The 20,324-nt window shown below is 34.1% G+C and overlaps 1 protein-coding gene across 2 annotated transcripts in view; it reads left to right on the top strand.

Annotated features, from left to right (window-relative positions):
• THSD7B (thrombospondin type 1 domain containing 7B) overlaps positions 1–20,324 on the top strand; it is a 912,174-nt gene that overhangs the window by 286,118 nt on the left and 605,732 nt on the right. For both annotated transcript variants that reach the window (NM_001316349.2, XM_047445935.1), the window contains exon 3: positions 4,758–5,568. In NM_001316349.2, coding sequence (NP_001303278.1) covers positions 4,758–5,568 — 811 coding nt within the window. The remainder of the gene's footprint in view (positions 1–4,757; positions 5,569–20,324) is intronic.

A 20,324-nucleotide genomic window follows, 5' to 3' on the forward strand; every position in this document is an offset into this window, starting at 1 on the left:
GTTAAAAATAAAGCAATGTCAGGATAATAAAAGCTGTGACAGGGAAAAATGAAAAATAAAGCAAACATCTCTTCTTATTGCATGCATGGTATTAAATCAGGGTTGCCACTTCAAATAGTGACCAGTACTGTGCAAGAGCTATGGAGAGTGTGCTTATTTTCTTTGTCCTCTGGAGCCTCCTTTTTCGTTTGTTTCAGGCATTTTATTGAACACCACACCTAAAATTCAGGCATCCAGCATGCTTTCTTAAATGTGATGATTTATGTTGGGTGATGCATGCCCCCAACTAATCCAGTTAAGGGTGACTTAATTAAGAGGATAAAATTTGCCTGTGCTTTTCTGCTTCTAGCATTCACATTACAGCATTCACATATTTGCATTTCCTGCAAAAACACAGGCAGAAAAAAAGACAAATCACAGAGCCTTAAATTTGAAAGTGACCTGCGAGTTCATCAGTGCTACCCTTCCAAGTCCAAAGAATTCACTTCTAGGCCAAAATTTTAATGTGTTAATGTGTGATGTGGCTTAAAATACTTGGACTATTCAACAGCAGCTATATTCCTCTCACAAAAAGGGTAGCAAGTTGCAGATATATGACTCTTTACATAATGTTTGCCCAAGTAAACAGATACAGAACTACTGTCCCCATTACATCATTGAAGTACTTTCTGAGAAAGCAACCAGCATGAGTTTTATTAATGGTTTAGAGCTACATTACATCAGTAGTCAAACTTTTAATACTTAAATTATTCTAAATTTTGTTTTATTTTTATTACTTGGTGTCTGTTTTTTTCACTAGGCATATAAAAATTCTTGACATTTAAAAACATAGTTTCTTATGTATTTCTTTAGATTATTTGTGAATACTGTTAATATATAATACATATATATTTTGTAATAAAAGCAAGGTTTTTTTGTATGTAATAAATGTAAAGGTAATATTCTTCTTTCTTCATGCAACTGCTTACATTTTTAATTATTTCTTTTATTTGTGAACTTGGACAAGAGATGTAAGATTTCTCAAACTGCCAGTCACATTTTACTTCAATATTCATGTTTTTTTGAAATGGCAAAACCCCTTAGGGCTGTGTGATTTTCACTCATGTATGTATTGAAAGTTCATAGCCAAATACAACTGAATAAATCATGGAGCACATTTTCTCTCCATGCCTGAGAACTGCAAATGGCTATAGGTCAATTGCTGAAAGGTCTTGTCTTCATCTCATATGTCTTGTTTGTAATTTGTTTTTCATTTATTCCATGTGTGCACAATTCAGTTTGCATTTGCTTGTTATTTACATGTTTTTTGGTTGTCCTCAAAGTTTGCTTTAATATAAGGAGGAACTATTCTAGTTTGACTCTGCCTTTCTAAATGTCCTGACCAAGGTTTATTAACATGCATGTGTCTTACCTCATAAGAGCCACTATCCTAAATTTCCAGGCCAAGGAGTGGGGAGTAATTGTTTACATACTGCCTTCATTACCTGTTCTACTCATACCCAAATGAATATTAACATATATAGCATAATATTGAATTAACTCATATCCAAAATTAATATAGCTTAATATTCCTTTGGATAATTTTTAGAGTTAATATTGGATGTGAGTTAATTTTGGATTAACTCATATCCAAATAGGAGATCATGGCTAAGCTAAGAAACATCTTCAAATATAGCAATTTTAATTACTTAATAGTTATACTTTTTTTCTCCAATGATGCAGAAAAAATTTTGCTGCTTGATGAAATTCTTCATTTGATCTTAGCCAAAAGGCTAAGCAATTATTTGGAAAAATTCTGTAAAGAAAGAGGAGATGAAATCTAAGGGAAGAATAATATTTCTAAAGTTTAAAATAGTAATGATTTCAAATAACCAAAAAAGAGATAGCTTATTTTGAAAGTGGAGAATTTATAATAAAAAAAAAAAGAGAATGTCATAGTCAAATGCTTTAAAAGTAAAGACAAGAGTTACTTGGCCAGATATTCTAAATGAATTAAGTGTAATATTAACTTTTGAAGATTGACCAGAAATAGGTCCAACTTTTCTGATCTTACTTTCATTAATCCATGCAAAAAAAATCCTGAGTGGAAAATTGTGTATGCTTAATACCTAATCAAATAGAGATAAACTGACAGCCATTACTTAAAAATCCACAGTGCTCTACAAAAAAAAATTTCCTTTAACTTTATCCAATAACTGTTTTATATTATTCAAGATTAATTTTAGATTTTAAAGTTTGCTGTGTTTGTATATATTTTGAAATATTCCTTTACTGAGTAACTGTGGGAATTTTGGGGCAATAATAAAAATTTATATGAATGGTCTGACATGATGGACAATGAATAGAACACTTAAACTGAAACTTCTCTAGAACATTAGGACAGAGAAAGCCTCCCAATCACTTTCAAGTAACAAGAAACATCTCAATTTGCAAAGTAAAGAATTGTGAGTAATCTACATTACCAGAATTGTGGGTGGCTGATTAAGTCAGCCCGTGCTAAGATCACCGTTTTCAACGCGTGTTCTCTATACTATAAGCAGTCTGTGCTGGGACAACAGACTGGAGGAAGGTAGTGGGCAAACTCAGGGGCATTTTGGTAATGAAAGCTGACCTGCTCCAGTGAAACCTGTTCTGTTTCAGCAAGAGAAGTCTCTAGTATGTTTTCTATGTTAATCTCTCTCACAAAGTGGCAGAAGGCATTGACATGCTATTGCCAAGAATGCCAGGTGTATATGGCTAGAACAGGGATGTGAGGAAGAATTGAGATGATTAGTTGCATTAGAACCGGACCCTTTTGTCCTACTAAAGTGACAGATCCTCATTTTAGTGTGTGGCCCCAGTGCAGATAACCTGCTTCTCTGGGGATGTATATGTTTCTTCCTAAATGCATGTGATTACGTACATGTCTACTATTTGTACAAATGTAGTGGATGCTAATGAAAATATTTTTCATGGAGTAATTAAACATCATTTGGGGAAGCTGGTCAGATTCAGGGAAAGAGAGAGAGCTTGTGTAAATTCATATGCCTCTTAGGGTCTGAAGTGCCTTATGATCATCACAGTCCTGAGACAGGGGCAAAGGTACCTAGTTAAGCTGATAAAACTTTTTTTTTTTTTTAATTTTAAGTTCTGGGATATGTGTGCTGAACATGCAGGTTTGTTACATAGGTATACATGTGCCATGGTGGTTTGCTGCACCTGTCAACCCATCATCTAGGTTTTAAGCCCCGCATGCATTAGGTATTCGTCTTAATGCTCTCCCCACCCTTGCCCCCCATACCACGACAGGCCCTGGTGGGTGATATTCCCCTCCCTGTGTCCATGTGTTCTCATTGTTCAACTCCCACTTATGAGTGAGAACATGCAGTGTTTGGTTTTCTATTCCTGTGTTCGTTTGCTGAGGATGATGGTTTCCAGCTTCATCCACGTCCCTGTGAAGGACATGAACTCATTCTTTTTTATGGCTGCATAGTATTCCATGGTGTACGTGTGCCACATTTTCTTTATCCGGTCTATAATTGATGGGCATTTGGGTTGGTTCCAAGTCTTTGCTATTGTGAATAGTGCTGCAATAAACATACGTGTGCATGTGTCTTTATAGTAGAATGATTTATAATCCTTTGGGATCAATCCTTTATACCCAGTAATGAGATTGCTGGGTTGAATGGTATTTCTGGTTCTAGATCCTTGAGGAATCACCACACTGTCTTTCACTATGGTTGAACTAATTTACACTCCCACCAACAGGTTCAGATTACATATTTAAATAAAATGAAAGAGAAGAAACTATTTTTTTCATTGTTGTTGACACAAAATGTGATTACTTACTGTCCTTGTGAAAAGATACCAACTTTCTGGATAAGGCCTGCTGGTATGTCTGTAGATGAGATGCAAAAAATATGATAAACGTCAATGGGCAGCTCCCTCATCTGTCCATTTCTTGGACTCTTACCTACACAAATGAATTAGTTAATTAAAAGATCTGGCATATTACAAGCTAATGTTGGAAACTGTACCTGGATCAGTACCCATCAGAAATCAAAATGAGTACACTTCAAGGATTCTAGGGGCAGAATTTCCACAGACAATTCAGTGCTGCTGCTTCTCTTATTACCTTACCTTTCCCCTGCACCCCATTGTTATTTTCATGCAATTCTCTCTGCAAGTACTAACCAAAACTGAGGACAATTATTTTGAAAATGAAAATAGGATACTTTGGCAACTTAGGGTGTTAAACATATCTCTCTTCTGAGCTTCTTAGAGTTTGAGCTGAAAGACTGGAAATATGAAAAATTCTACTTTATTAAAATCCTGGCTTTAGGGCTTTTCTTTTGAATGAAACACCACCTCAGTGGAAAGTATTAATATTGAGTTAGATGTATAGGCTTTGGAACGTAGTAGTTATAATGGTACCAATCATTTATTAAATTTGTATTGTCTACTTGACACATTGTATCATTTATCTTCAGAGCAATTCTACAAGTCGGTGCTTTTATTATCTTCTACCTTATATAGGTGAGGAACTTTCTAAGGCTTAGAAAGTTGAAATAATTCATCCAAGTTTACATTACTGATGGAATGCTTATTTCAACAAGAGTGTCCACATTCTGAACCACTAAATTATGTTGTCTCTGTTCCACCAAAATTCCTAATTTCATACTGCTTGTGTTGGAAAGTGTGTTAATTGACTTCTACTTACCTGTGAATTGCTGAATGTAATCTCTGAGTAATTAACATCCTTGTTTTTCTGCCTGTAGGTCCGTGGGGAAGGTGTACAGGAGACTGTGGTCCCGGAGGAGTCCAGAGTCGGGCAGTGTGGTGTTTTCATGTTGACGGGTGGACAAGTCACCTGTCTAACTGTGGTGAGAGCAACAGGCCTCCAAAGGAAAGAAGTTGTTTCCGAGTTTGTGACTGGCACAGTGACCTCTTTCAGTGGGAGGTTTCTGACTGGCACCACTGTGTGCTTGTTCCTTACGCTCGCGGTGAAGTCAAGCCTCGGACTGCAGAGTGTGTGACGGCTCAGCATGGACTGCAGCACCGGATGGTGCGCTGCATTCAGAAGCTGAACCGAACTGTGGTTGCAAATGAAATATGCGAACACTTTGCCCTTCAGCCTCCTACAGAACAGGCTTGCCTCATTCCTTGTCCCCGGGATTGTGTAGTATCTGAGTTCTTACCATGGTCCAACTGTAGCAAGGGATGTGGGAAGAAATTGCAGCATAGAACTCGCGCGGTCATAGCTCCCCCTCTCTTTGGTGGTTTGCAATGTCCAAATCTGACTGAGTCAAGAGCCTGTGATGCTCCCATTTCCTGTCCTCTTGGGGAAGAGGAATATACATTTAGCCTTAAGGTTGGACCATGGAGTAAATGCAGACTGCCTCATCTTAAAGAAATTAATCCAAGCGGAAGAACTGTTCTGGATTTTAACTCTGATTCAAATGAGCGAGTCACCTTTAAACATCAAAGTTACAAAGCACATCATCATTCGAAGTCTTGGGCAATAGAGATAGGTTATCAAACCCGGCAGGTTTCGTGTACAAGAAGTGATGGACAAAATGCTATGTTAAGGTAGGAGACCTTTGATGCTTGAATTTGATTCACCTAAAATATTTTATAGTGCAACTTTATAAAGCTTCTTTATGATTTTCTACAAAGCGAAAATGGCAACGAGGTTTATAATTTAGGTTTTTAGAAGTTTCATGTAAGAAATTTTTAATTTCACTGGGAGGTTTTCAAAATTGCATAGTTTAGACCAAGCAGTGTTCTAGCATTCTTGTGTGATTAGTAATGCAATTATATATATAGGATAAGTCATATATTTCCACATTTTATCAAGACAGTAACTAGTATAAAAATAGATCTGCCATTACAACAGTGATAGAAGACTAAGGGGCTTCTCATAATGATAAAAATTCAAGTTCAATTTCAAATGTGGGATATGAATTATGTAAATATTTTTGTTTTTCAGAACATTTGTCCTTTAAAATTTTATTTTTGTTTTTATTTGTTTACTTTTGTTTCCACTGTTATCAACATTCTTTGACATCTGTGTTGTACATTTTTTATACTAGCAATAATACCGAAAAGTTGTTCCAAGAGTGCTTTCTTTGGCGTTATTTTGATACAGGTATTAACTTGCGCAAGCAGTAATTAGAATGACGTACTGGAGAAGAAATAAACTATTAAAGCAACAGCTTAGGTTTCAAATTTATGCTTGTTTTATTTTAAATTGTAGTCTAAAACATCATGACATAAACTCACAGAAATATATTGAAAGTAGTATTTGTTTAATTTTACCTCAGAGGGTCTTAAATGAAGCATTTGTGTATTACTAAGTTTCTTCCAAATTAAGATGCCTTTCAATAGTACTTAAATTACCAAACAACATAATGCTTGTCTTTAGAATTAATCATTCTCATCAGTTGCTGCCTTCTTGGGATCCACAGCTGACCAGGAGATGCCCAGAAGACTACCACTGTTGTTTATGAACAAAGTAATGTGATGATTGTTTTTTTTTCCATTTGACTTCACAAATGAGTATATTTTATCCTTGATACTTCATTCTGATTTGTGCCATATGAAATTAGCAAGTCCACTGAAGAGTGATTTGCAGCTTTTTATTGCCTACTTCTTTGAAGTCCAGATTAAGCAAAAGATTCATGCAATTTGTTTGAATGTGTGTGGGGTTGTGTAAATACATTGTTTTCTTAATATTCCGTACTGTATTGCTGAAGTGAGCATTACATAGAATCTTTTCATTTTGTTTGTGCATTTTTGCAGTGTTTTTCTTTTTTTAATAGACTTGATTTTTCAGATCAATTTTTAAATTTTCAGAAAAAATGAGTGAAAGTACTGAGTTCCTGTATACTCCCTGTCTCCAACATATAGTTTTTTCCTATTATTAACATCTTGCATTCATGTGATAGTTTCATAAACAAACATTTCATAGTTACATACACAAACATTGAGTGCATAACACAGTTCAAATTGTGTTCCCCTCCCCAAATTTATGTATCGAAATTCTAACCATGAGTGTAATGTTTTTAGGAGGCATGGGGCCTTTGGGAGGTAATTATGTCGTGATGATGCAGTTCTCATAGATGGGATTAGTGCGCCATGAGAGCTTCCTCTCACTCTTTTTCTGCCATTTGAGGATACAATGTGAAGTCAGCAGTCTGCAAGCCAGAAGAGAGAACCCACCAGAATGTGACTATGCTGGTACCCTGGTCTCAGACTTCCAGCCTCTAGAACTGTGAGAAATAGATTTCTGTTGTTTTTTAAGCCATCCAGCTTCTGGTACTTTGTTATAGCAGCTTGAATTGCCGAAGACTAACTGTTATAAAAATAAATACCATAGTTTGGGAATTTAAATGAGAAATTTATTTCCACAGTTCTGGAGGCTGGAAAGTCCAAATTCAAGGTGTGTCTTGATTTAGTTCGTGATGAAGGTTGTCTTCTTGTCTTAAAGATGGCCATCTTCTTGCTGTGTCCTCACATGGTGGGGGAGAGAGAGAAAAAAAGAGAGCACTCTATGTCTCTTCTTATAAGGTCACCAATCCTATCACAAGGGCTCCACTCTCATGACCTGATTACATTAGAAATTTCCCATATTCAAAATGGAGGTTAGAGTTTCAACATTTGAATTTTGGAGGAACACAATTCAGTGTGCAGCAGGTACATTGGTTACAATTGATGAGCTAATATTGATATATTACTGTTAATAAAGACTATAGTTTACATTAGGATTCATCCTTTGTATTGTACATTCTATTGGTTTGACAAATGAATAATGACATGGATCCACAATTACGGTATCATACAGAGTAGTTTTACTCCCCTAAGTATCCCTTCTACTCTATTTACTCATCCTTCCCTCTCTCCCTGAGAACCCCTGGCAACTACTGACCATTTTACTGACTGTCCCCAAAGTTTTGCCTTTTTAAAAAATGTTATATAGTTAGAATTATATATGTAGCTTTTTCTGGTTGACTTATTTCACTTTGCAATACGCATTTAAGTTTGTTCCATGTCTGTTTGTGACTTGGTAGCTTATTTCTTTTTATCACTGAATAATATTCCATTTTGTGGTACTATAGTTTGTTCATTCACCTACTGAAGTACATCTTGGTTGCTATCAAGTTTTGGCAATTTTGAATAAAGCTGCTATAAAAGTTTATGTGTGTAATTTTTTGTGAACATAGGTTTTCAAGTCATTTGGGTTAATATCAAGTAGTGCAATTGCTGTATGGTATAGCAAGAGTATGTTTAGTTTTGTAAGAAACTGCCCAGCTGTCTTCCAGAATGGCTGTGCCACTTTGCAATGCCACCAGCAATTAGTGGAAGTTCTATTTTGTCACATCACTGGGATTTGTTGTCAGTATTTTGGAGTTTTGCCATTCGAATAGGTGTGTAATGGTATCTCATTGTTTTAAATTGCGATTCCTTAATGACATGTGATGCTGAACATCTTTTCATACACTTGCTTGCCATCTGTATATATTATTTGATAAGGTGTCTATTCAGATGTTTTGTCTATTTTTTAATTGAGTTGTTTTCTTATTGTTGAATTTTAAGAGTTATTTGTATATTTTGGATACCAGTCCTTTATCAGATATGTGTTTTGCAAATATTTTTGACAGTCTATGATTTGTGTTTTCATTTTCTTGATGGTGTTGTTCACAGAGAAAATATTTTTAATTTTAATGAAGTCCAACTTCTCAATATTTTTTCAAGGATCTTTTTTTTTTGGTGTTGTTTAAAAATATCACTAAACCCAAAGTCAACTCAATTTTTCTCTTATATTTTCTTCTACGAGTTGCATAATTTTGTTTATTATATTTAGGTCTATCATTCATTTTGAGGTTTTTTGGTGAAAGGTATAGGGTCTATGTCTGCATTCTTTTTAAAAAAGATTATTATATGTTCAGTTGTTCCAGCACCATTTATTGTAAAGAATATCTTTTCTCTATTGAGTTACCTATGCTTTTTTGACAAAGATCAATTGACTATGTTGATATGAGTCTGTTCTATGCCTTCAATTTTTATTCTATTTTACTATCTATTATTTGTTAGTAACACAATGTTTTGAGTAATGTAGTTTTATAGTAAATTGTAAAGCAGAGAAGTGTCAGTCTTCCTATTTTTTTTCTTCCTATGTGTTGTCTGCAGTGAATCTTTTGCTTTTTCATATAAACTTTGGAACTACTTTTTGATATCCACAAAATAACTTCCAAGATTTTGATTGGGATTGCATGTAATGGAAGATCAATTTGGGAAGAACTAATATATTGATAATACTGAGTCATCCTATTCTGGTACATAGGATATCTCTCCATTTATTTAATTCTTGTTTATTTTGTCAGGGTCTTGGAGGGTTTTTTAAAAAAAATATATCTTGTACATATTGTGTCAGATTTAGATTAATTTACCTTTTTTGGTGCTAACATAAATGGTATTGTGTTTTTAATTTCATATTGCAATTGTGCATTGCTGGTATAATAAGAAAACCGTTAACTTTTTATATTAACCTTGCATCCTGCAACTTTGTTATAGTCACTTATTATCCAGAGATTTTCATTGCTGTAGTTGTTGATTTTTTGAGATTACTTACATAAATAAGCATGTCAGCATGTCATCTGCAAAAAAAAAAGGAAAAATTATTGCTTTCTTTCCAATCTGAATATGTTTTCTTTATTTTATTTTCTTGTCTTCATTAGCCAAGACTTCCAGTACAATGTTATACAGGAGTGATGAGAAAGGACATTCTTTTTTTTTTGTACTGGGAAAGAAATCTATGCTGTCACCATTAAGTGTTTTGTTAGCTATAGGTTTTTTTTTTTTGTAGGTGTTTTGATCAAGTCAAGGAAGTTCCCCTTCATTCTTAGTTTTCTGAGAATTTTCCTTATAAATAATCATTAGATTTTGTTAAATATTTTTTCTGCCTCTATTGATCTGATTATATGATTTTTGTTCATTAGCCTGTTTATGTTATGGATTACATTAATTGATTTTCAAATGTTGAACCAGCCTTGTGTATGTGGAATAAATCCCACTTAGCTGCGACGTAAATTCCTTTTACATAGTGTTGGATTTGACTTGCTAGTATTTTATTGAGACTTATTTCATGTATGTTTATGAGAAATGTTGATCTTTGTTGTCCTTACTTGTAATGTCTTTGTTGTGATGTTAGGGTAATGCTGCCCTCTTCGAATGAATTGGAAAGTATTTTCTGTGCTTTCATTTTCTGAAAGAAATTGTTGAGAATTGGTATAATTTTTCCCTTGAATGTTTGGTAGTGAACCCTCTGGACCTCATGCTTTCTGATTTGGAAAGTTACTAAATACTGGTTTAATTTCTTTTAACAGATTTAGGACTATTCGTATCATCGATTTCTCTTTGTGTGTTTTGCTAGATTTTGTCTTTCAAGGAATTGGCTCATTTCATCTAGATTATCAAATTTAGGGACATAGAGTTGTTCATAATATCCCTTTTTCCTTTTAATAGCTATGGGATTATTAATGATTACCCTTCTTAAGTTTCCAGTATTAATAATTTGTATCCTCTCTTTTTTTTCCTAACCTGGCTAGAGGTTCATTAATTTTATCAGTGCTTTTAAAAACCAGCTTTTGGTTTTGTTGATTTTTTTCTATTGATTTTTTTTCTAATTTCATTGATTTTGACTCTGATTTTATTATTTCTTTTCTTCTGCTTACTTTAGATTTAATTGCTCTTCTTTTTCTAGTTTCCTAAGGTGGAAACTTAGGTTACTCATTTGAGATCTCTCTTCTTTACTATTAGATGCATTCAATTTCCTCAAGCCCTTTCTCTTTGTTCCACAAATTCTGATAATTTGCATTATTTTCATGTAGTTCTAAATATTTTTGCATTTCTCTTGAGATTTTCTTGATCCATGTGTTATTTAAGAGTGTCTTGTTTAATCTCTATATATTTTGGGGTTCTCTATTTTGTTATTAATTTTAGTTTAATTCCATTGTGTCCTGGGAGCATATGTTGTATGATTTCTATTCTTTTAGATTTGTTAAGGTGTGTTTCATGGCCCAGAAATATGGCTTATCTTGAATATTTTATGTGAACTCGAGAAGAATGTGTGTACTCTGCTGTAGTTGGATAAAATATTCTATAAATGTCAATTATATCCAGTTGATTGATGGTGCTGTTCAGTTCAACTATGTTCTTACTGATGTTATTCCTGATGGATCTGTCGATTACTAGAGAGGAGTGTTGAGGTCTCCAAAAACAATACAAATTTTGTCTATTTGCAGTTATAACAGACCTTGCCTCATAGATTTTGACACTCTGTTGTTAGATAATACATATTAATGACTGCTATATCTTATTGGAGAAATAATCTCTTTATTATTATGTAATGCCCACCCCCACCTTAATCCCTGACAATTTTCTTTGCTCTAAATTCTCCATTGTCTGGAATTATGATACCTACTCCACCTTTTTTTGATTAATGCTAGCATAGTATATCTATGCTTACTGACAAAAAGTGTATTCATCTGTCTTGTAGATAACATATAATTGGATGCTGTTTATTATTCACTCTGACAGTCTGTCTTTTAATTAGTGTATTTAGATCATTTATGCTTAAAGTGATCATCAATACAATTGTATTAATATTTACTGTGGTCATTATTTTTCATTTATTGTCCTTGTTCTTTGCTCCTTTTTAATTTTAATTTATTATTTTTTATTTAATTTTTAGCTGTTGTAGGTGCATAGTAGGTGTATATATTTATGGGTTACATGAGATATTTTGATACAAGCATGCAATGCATTGTAATCATATCAGGGTAAATGGAGTATTTATCACCTCAAGCATTTATCCTTTGTGTTATAAACAATCCAGTTATACTCAGCTATTTTAAAATGCACAATTAAATTATTTTTTACTATATCACTCTGTTTTGCTAGCAAATACTAGGTTGTATTCATTCTTTCTAACTGTTACTGTGTGCCCATTAATCTCCATTTTCCCCAATCACCACTACTTTTCCCAGACTCTGGAAACCAGCCTCTATTCTCTAGCTCCATGAGTTCAATTGTTTTAATTTTTCGTTGTCACAGGTAAGTGAGAACATGCAAAGCTTGTCTTTCTGTGCCTGGCCATTTAACTTAACAACTTCCAGTTCCATCCATGTTGGTGCAGATGACAGGATCTCATTGGTTTTTATAGCTGACTAGTACTCCATTGTGTATATGTACCACATTTTCTTTATTCATTTGTTGATGGACACTTGGGTTGCTTCCAAATCTTGACTATTGTGCACAGTGCTCCAGTAAATATGGGAGTTCAGCTATCTCTTTTATGTACTGATTTCCTTTCTTTTGTGTCCGTAGCAGTGGGATTGCTAGATAGTACGGTAGCTCTATTTTTAGTTTTTCGAGGAGCCTCTAAACTGTTCTCCATAGTGGTTGTACTGTGTTCCAACCAACAGTGTACAGTGATTCCCTTTTTTCCACATCCTCACCAGCATTTGTTATTGCTTGTCATTTGTATAAAACTCATTTTAACTGGGATGAGATGATATCTCATTTTAATTTTGATTTGCATTTCTCTGATGATCAGTGATGCTGAGCACCTTTCCATATGCCTGTTTGTCATTTCTATGTATTCTTTTGAGAAATGTCTATTAAGACCTTTTGCTCATTTTTAAATTGTATTATTATATTTTTTCCTATTGAGTTGTTTGAGCTTCTTATGTAATCTGGTTATTAATCCCTTGTTAGACTGGTAGTTTGCAAAAAATTTCTCTTATCCTGTGGATTTTCTCATCAGTTTGTTGATTGTTTCCTTTGCTGTACAGAGGCTTTTTAACTTGATGTGATATAATTTGTCCATCTTCTCTTTGATTGCCTGTGTTTTATTATTCAAGAATCTTTGCCCATTTCAATGTTTGAAGAGTTTCCTCAGTGTTTTTTTGATTCTTTTTGCAGTCGTTTCATAGTTTGAGGTCTTGGGTTTAATTCTTTAATTTTTATTTGATTTTTTTGTATGGTGAGACATAGGGGTCTAGTTTCATTCTTCTGCATAGGGATATCCAGTTTTCCTAGCACAATTTATTGAAGAGACTGTCCTTTCCTCAGTGTATGTTCTTGATACCTTTGTCAAAAATGAATTCATTGTAGATGTATGGGTTTATTTCTGGGTTCTCTACTCTGTTCCAGTGATGTGTATGTCTGCTTTTATGGCAGTACCATACTGTTTTGTTTACTGTAGTTCTGTAGTATAACTTGAAGTCAGGTAATGTGATTCCTCCAGTTTTTTTTTTGTTGTTGTTGTTTTTTCAGGTTAGCTTTGCCTATTCTGGGTCTTTTATGGTTCCATATGAGTTTTCAGATTGTTTTTGCGATTTCTGTGAAAAATATTATTGATATTTTCATAGGGATTGCACTAAATCTATAGATTACTTTGAGTAATAGAGACATTTTAACAATATTGACTCTTCCAATCCATGAACAAGGATTATTTTTCCATTTTTTGTGCCCTCTTCAATTTTCTCCTTTGGTGTTTTATAGTTTTCATTGTAGAGATCTTTCACTTATTTAAGTTTATTCCTATGTATTTTATTTTATTTGTAGCAATTGTCAGTGGGATTACTTTTTCATTTCTTTTTAAGATTGTTAGCTGTTGTCATATAAAATGCTACTGATTTTTATATGTTGATTTTGTATCCTGTAACTTTACTAAATTTATCAGTTTTAATAATTTTTGTGGATTTTTTCGGTTTTTCCAAATATTATGTTATCTGCAAACAAGGATAATTTGACTTCTTCCTTTCCAGTTCGGTTGTCCTTTATTTTTTTCTCTTGTCTGATTCCTCCAAGACTTTCAGTACTATGTTAAATAGCAGTGGTGGCAGTGGGCTTCCTTGTTGTTTTCAAGATCTTAAAGGAAAGGCTTTCAGTTTTCATTTCACTTATTTATTTCCTCTCTTCCTCTGTCCTCTCTGATTTTAATGGAACATTTTATGTTGTTTGATTTTTTTCTTCTTTCTTAGCATATCAGTTATACATATCTTAAACATTTTTTATGGTTTTATTAGAATTTGCAGTGTACATTTACAACTATCCAAAGCCCACTTTCAAATAACACTATATACACTTCACAGGCAGTGTAAGTATCCTATAACGGAGTATTCTGAATTGCTCTCTCCCATCCCTTGCATCATAGCTGTAATTTATTTCACATATATATAACCTATAATTACCAAATACATTGTTGCTATTATTTGAACAGATTATTATTGTTAGATCAATTTGCATATGAAAAATAAATGACATTTTATTTTTCCTTAATTCCTTCTCCAATTGGCAGTTTTTGTTTTCGTAGATCTGAGTTTCTAACCTACATAATTTTCCTCCTCTCTGAAGCTTCTTTTAATACATTTTTTTCAAAGCAAGTCTATTCCTCAATTTTTATATGAGAAAATCTTTATTTCTCCTTTATTTTTGAAGTATAATTTCATTGGATGTAGAATTTAGGTTGATGAGTTTTCACTTTTTTTTTTTTTTTTTTTTGAGACAGAGTCTGGCTCTGTCTCCCAGTCTGGAGTGCGGTGGCATAATCTCGGCTCACTGCAACTTCTGTCTCCCAGGTTCAAGGAATTCTCCTGCCTCAGACTTCTGAGTAGCTGGGACTATAGTCATGTGCCACCACGTCTGGCTAATTTTTTTGTATTTTTAGTAGAGACGGGGTTTCACCATGTTGGTCAGGCTGGTCTTGAACTCCTGACCTTAAATAATCTGCCCACTTCGGCCTCCCAAAGTGCTGAGATTACAGGCGTGAGCCACTGCAACTGGCTAGGTTTTTGCTTTCAATAGCACATGATCTTGCTTGCATAGTTTGTGAACAGAAGTCTGATGTAACTTTATCCTTCCTTCTCTATAGGTAAGGTGTGTTTTTCTCCCTCTGGCTTCTTGAAATAATTTTTTTCTTTGTCTTTGATGTTCTGCAGTTCAAATGTGGTATGCTTGGACGTGGATATTTTTGGTATTTGCCTTGCTTGATTTTCCCTGAGCTACTGGGATCTATGATTTGGTGTCTGCCATAAATTTTGGAAAATTCTTAGCCATTATTACTTTAAACATCTCTTCTGTTATTTTCTCTCTTTATTTTCCTACTGATATTTCTATTACGTGTAGTTACATCATTTGTAGTTCTACCCATAGTTCTTGGATAGTCTTTTAAGTCTTTTTTAATCCTCTTTGAATTTCAGTTTTAGAAGTTGCTATTGACATTTCATCAAGCTCACTGATTTCCTAAACTCCGTCCAGTCTGTTGATGAGCCTATCAAAGGTACTTTTTGGTACTTTACGATGTTTTTGATTTCTGTCATTTTCTTTTGATTCTTTGTTAGGGTTTCCATCTCACTGCTTACAATACCCATTTGTTCTTGCACATTGTCTACTTTTTCACTAGAACCTTTAGTATGTTAATCACAGTTGTGCTACATTTCCAGTCTGATAATGCTAAAATCTCTGCCATATCTGAATCTCATTTGGATGTTTGCTTTAGCTTTTCAAACTATGCTTTTTGTCTTTTAGTGTGCTGTGTAATGTTTTGTTGAAAGCTGGACATGATGTACCAGGCAAATGGAACGGGGGTAATTAGACCTTTAGTGTGAGGTTGTTATATTTACCTGACTTGGAGGTACACTGTGTTTGCTATAGTTGTAGGTGTCAGGGGCAAAAAATCTCCTTTGGTGTCCTTGTTTTTGTTCATTTTCTGTTGTGTTTTTTCTTTTCTGTTGTCTTTGGGTTTTCTTAGAGACTTCTTTCTAAATAAGGTCTGAAACAAGCAATTTTTTCCATTGTAACCCCCTAATATTATTCAGGAGCCCTATTCATGATTGCTAAGTTTCAGGAGTTGGGGAAAGAGTCTTTTGTCCCATGATTAGATTCTCATATTTTGTTAAGCCTATTAAGCCTGTTTGTTAAGACCTTCACAAATTCTTCTCAGTCTCTTCCTATTTTCACTCCCAACTCAGGTAAGACAGGAAGGCTAGAAGGGTATATGCCTTCTTTTATATCAGAGTCTGGTAAAACCCTAGTTTGTTAGGCTTTCCTAAGATAGTTTCCTGTGAGGGCAGAACCAAGAAAAACAGAATTCTCTTGGTGTCTTTCAAAATGCCTACTTTTCCTTTCCCCTGCTGAAACATGAAGAAAATTTTTTCTTATCTTCACTGTGAGAACCTGGCAGGGCTACTGAAGGTATACTCACAAAAGTATAGGGTCCCCACTAGAACTGGGCTCCCTTAAAGTTTTTAACTATAAAGATTGTAGACACTGAGCCTCCAGTAAGTTGTCAATCATAGTTTAAGTTTTTCTACTCTGGTCCTGGTTCTAGTAGTGGTTTCTTCTCCTGGCTTTCCTCTGCTATGTTGTGATTCTTTGTATATGCCTTGCCTACTTTGGAGGCAGCCATTTTCTCTATGACTTCGATTCTCTGATGGATTTAAGAAGGGTTATTGATTTTCAGATTGTTTAGCTTTTTTCTTATTGTGAGGAAAGAGTGACAACTTTGAAGTTCCTTACATGCCAGAGTGGAAACCAGAAGTCACCATTATCTCTTCTGAGTTCTAGACAGCGTATTGAACCAAAGCATTTTTCTTTGAATTATCATGTCATGAAATCTATAACTCTCATTTAGTCTTCAAATGACTATGAAATGGTTCATATATTATCATAAAATAATTAGGTTTTAGAAAAATAATCATGTTAGATGAGGACATTTCTACTTCTGTAACTTTCATTGCCAAAAACAAAAATGTTAACTCTTGACAGTTACGTGATCCCATAGTTGACATTGCTGTCTCATTTCTGTCCAACTTGATGAACTATGTTGGCATACTCTACCAGGATTTTTTTGCTAAAAGGCTCAAATTAATCTCTGAAAAGTGACATTTTTCGTGTGTGTATTTGATGCTTTCAGAAAATCATTAATACCTGTGTATACTTATTGACTTCTAGGATGAACTATAGGTTTCCCTAAAATTATTATAATTTGTTCTAAAGTACAGATTCCTTTTACTCTGTTCATATGCCTAACTTCGGATCTGTTTCCTTTTGGTAGTATCTGTGACACTGTAGGGACAAGTGGCATTCTGTTTCCTCTGTTTTGATTATGGCTACTGTTGGTTATTATGTCATTTGGAACAGGAAGAGCTTGTCTTTACTTCTATAATGTAAACTCCTGTTTGTGACTTGCTGAAAGTCACTTTATCAATCTAGGACACGACAGAGCTTTAATTAATGCCCTTTACTAGCTATCTCATTGATTGCTCTGACTTTTGATAATCGCCTCAAACGATTTTCTTTTCACAGTTATATTTGCAATGTGGTAGGCAGTTGTATTATTCTTGCTGCTACTCTGCTCTCTCATCATTGATTTGCTTCTTGTGCTTAAAGATCTTTTGCTTTTACTTGTCTCAGTGCACATCCTAATTTTTCTTTTTCATTTTGACAGGAGTTTCTCTGAGGTTCCATTATTACATTTAAAAATAGCTGTCATATAGTCTGTTCATCATTCTTTCTCATATATCAATGATGCTATTATTGACTTTTTATAATACCTTAACTTGTGAAATGCAATAGTCTTCTCTCTTCAGTTTTAATTTTTGTTTTTGTTTCACCTTGTTTCCTTTTTATTTTTTTGGAGTAAAAGTACATCTGAATTAAAATATCTGAGCTATAGACTAGGAAGACTGTTTATATAAATAGGAAAGTGATTCATACTTATTGTTTGCATGAATGAAAATCAGATCAATGGGTTTTACTTTTACTTTGATAGAGAGGAACGTTTGGTTTGGGCATCCTTTTAAGAGCTATGATTATTTGGTACATGTTAACCATCTTTCAATTCTCAGAACACTTTAGTTAAATGAATGCACTGTGACTTCCTCATTAAGGAGTGACTGAAGGATAATAAATTTTAAGACGATTTTTTAAAAAGCCATCATCTCTAAAGCTCACTCCTCATTGTTCCCTTGTTTTTTGTATCTGCTGTTAAAGGAGATTTAAATTTTACATTGCTATTCCTCCTTAAACATAAATAAAAATAAGTCCCCAAACAACACAAGTCTTTTTCATAATTTGTTCTTTGAAAGTAGTAGAAATGTATATATTTATATGATTTCTACTGTAAACATATATTACATATAAAATATATAACTATACATATAAAACATATATATAGCTATATATAACATATATAACTATATATCTGTGGAAATATATATGTAGTTGTTTTGTTGTTGTGTTGGTGGGAATGGAGGATTATTTTCCAGTTAGAGATTTTATTTCCACCTCCTCATCCATATTGATTTAATTTTATTTTTGTACATATTGAACATTAACATGTTTCTAAAAATAAAAAATATGCATAGTTAGAGGAATGTCACTAATCCCATGTCCTCTACTGCTTGCAGATAACCAACTTCCTTATTTTCCATTTTGTACTTTGTGCTTGTTTGTATCTTTCTATTTCTCCTTATTTCTTACACAAAAGGTAGCAAGTTATATAATCCTTTTGAATTTTTTTTCACTTAACATTTCCTAGGAATTAGTTCATATTAGTTATTCAAGGTCTTTTTCATTCTTTTTTTACAGTTGCATAGTACTTCATTGTGTGTGTGCAGCCATAGTTTATTTGAACAAATTCCTACACTTGGACATTTAGGTAGTTTTTAATAATTTATAATTATAAGCAATTTTTCAATGTACAATCTACTGCACTTGTATTTTCATATTTTTGGAGGTATGTTTTCAGGATAAGTTCATAGAAATGTGATTGTTGGATAACAGGATAAATGCATACAAGTTGTGTTAAATATTGCCAAATTCTCTTTTTTAAAATTTTTTATTTTTTTTTTAAATTTTATTATTATTATACTTTAAGTTTTAGGGTACATGTGCACAACGTGCAGGTTTGCTACATATGTATACATGTGCCATGTTGGTGTGCTGCACCCATTAACTCGTCATTTAGCATTAGGTATATCTCCTAATGCTATCCCTCCCCCTGTCCCCCACCCCACAACAATCCCCGGTGTATGATGTTCCCCTTCCTGTGTGCATGTGTTCTCATTGTTCAATTCCCACCTATGCGTGAGAACATGCGGTGTTTGGTTTTTTGTCCTTGCGATAGTTTGCTGAGAATGATGGTTTCCAGTTTCATCTATGTCCCTACAAAGGACATGAAGTCATCATTTTTTATGGCTGCATAGTATTCCAAAGTGTATATGTGCCACATTTTCTTAATCCAATCTGTCGTTGTTGGACATTTAGGTTAGCTCCAAGTCTTTGTTATTGTGAATAGTGCCGCTATAAACATACGTGTGCATGTGTCTTTATAGCAGCATGATTTATAATCCTTTGGGTATATACCCAGTAATGGAATGGCTGGGTCAAGTGGTATTTCTAGTTCTAGATCCCTGAGGAATCGCCACACTGACTTCCACAATGGTTGAACTAGTTTACAGTCCCAGCAACAGTGTAAAAGTATTCCTGTTTCTCCACATCCTCTCTAGCACCTATGGTTTCCTGACTGTTTAATGATCACCATTCTAACTGGTGTGAGATGGTGTTGTGGTTTTGATTTGCATTTCTCTGATGGCCAGTGATGATGAGCATTTCTTCATGTGTCTTTTGCTGCATAAATGTCTTCTTTTGAGAAGTGTCTGTTCATATCCTTTGCCCACTTTTTGATGGGGTTGTTTGTTTTTTTCTTGTAAATTTGTTTGAGTTCATTGTAGATTCTGGATATTAGCCCTTTGTCAGATGAGTAGATTGCAAAAATTTTCTCCCATTTTGTAGGTTGCCTGTTCACTCTGATGGTAGTTACTTTTGCTGTGCAGAAGCTCTTTAGTTTAATTAGATCCCATTTGTCAATATTGGCTTTTGTTGCCATTGCTTTTGGTGTTTTAGACATGAAGTCCTTGCCTGTGCCTATGTCCTGAATGGTATTGCCTAGGTTTTAGGTGTTGCCTATGTCCTGAATGATATTGCCTAGGTATTGCCTAGGTTTTCTTCTAGGGTTTTTATGGTTTTAGGTCTAACATTTAAGTCTTTAATCCATCTTGAATTAATTTTTGTATAAGGTGTAAGGAAGGGATCCAGTTTCAGCTTTCTACATATGGCTAGCCAGTTTTCCCAGCACCATTTATTAAACAGGGAATCCTTTCCCCATTTCTTGTTTTTGTCAGGTTTGTCAAAGATCAGATAGTTGCAGATATGCGGCATTATTTCTGAGGGCTCTGTTCTGTTCCATTGGTCTATATCTCTGTTTTGGTACCAGT

This window comes from Homo sapiens, chromosome 2 (genome assembly GCF_000001405.40).
Source record: "Homo sapiens chromosome 2, GRCh38.p14 Primary Assembly".
In the NCBI taxonomy this organism is placed as follows: Eukaryota; Metazoa; Chordata; class Mammalia; order Primates; family Hominidae; genus Homo; species Homo sapiens.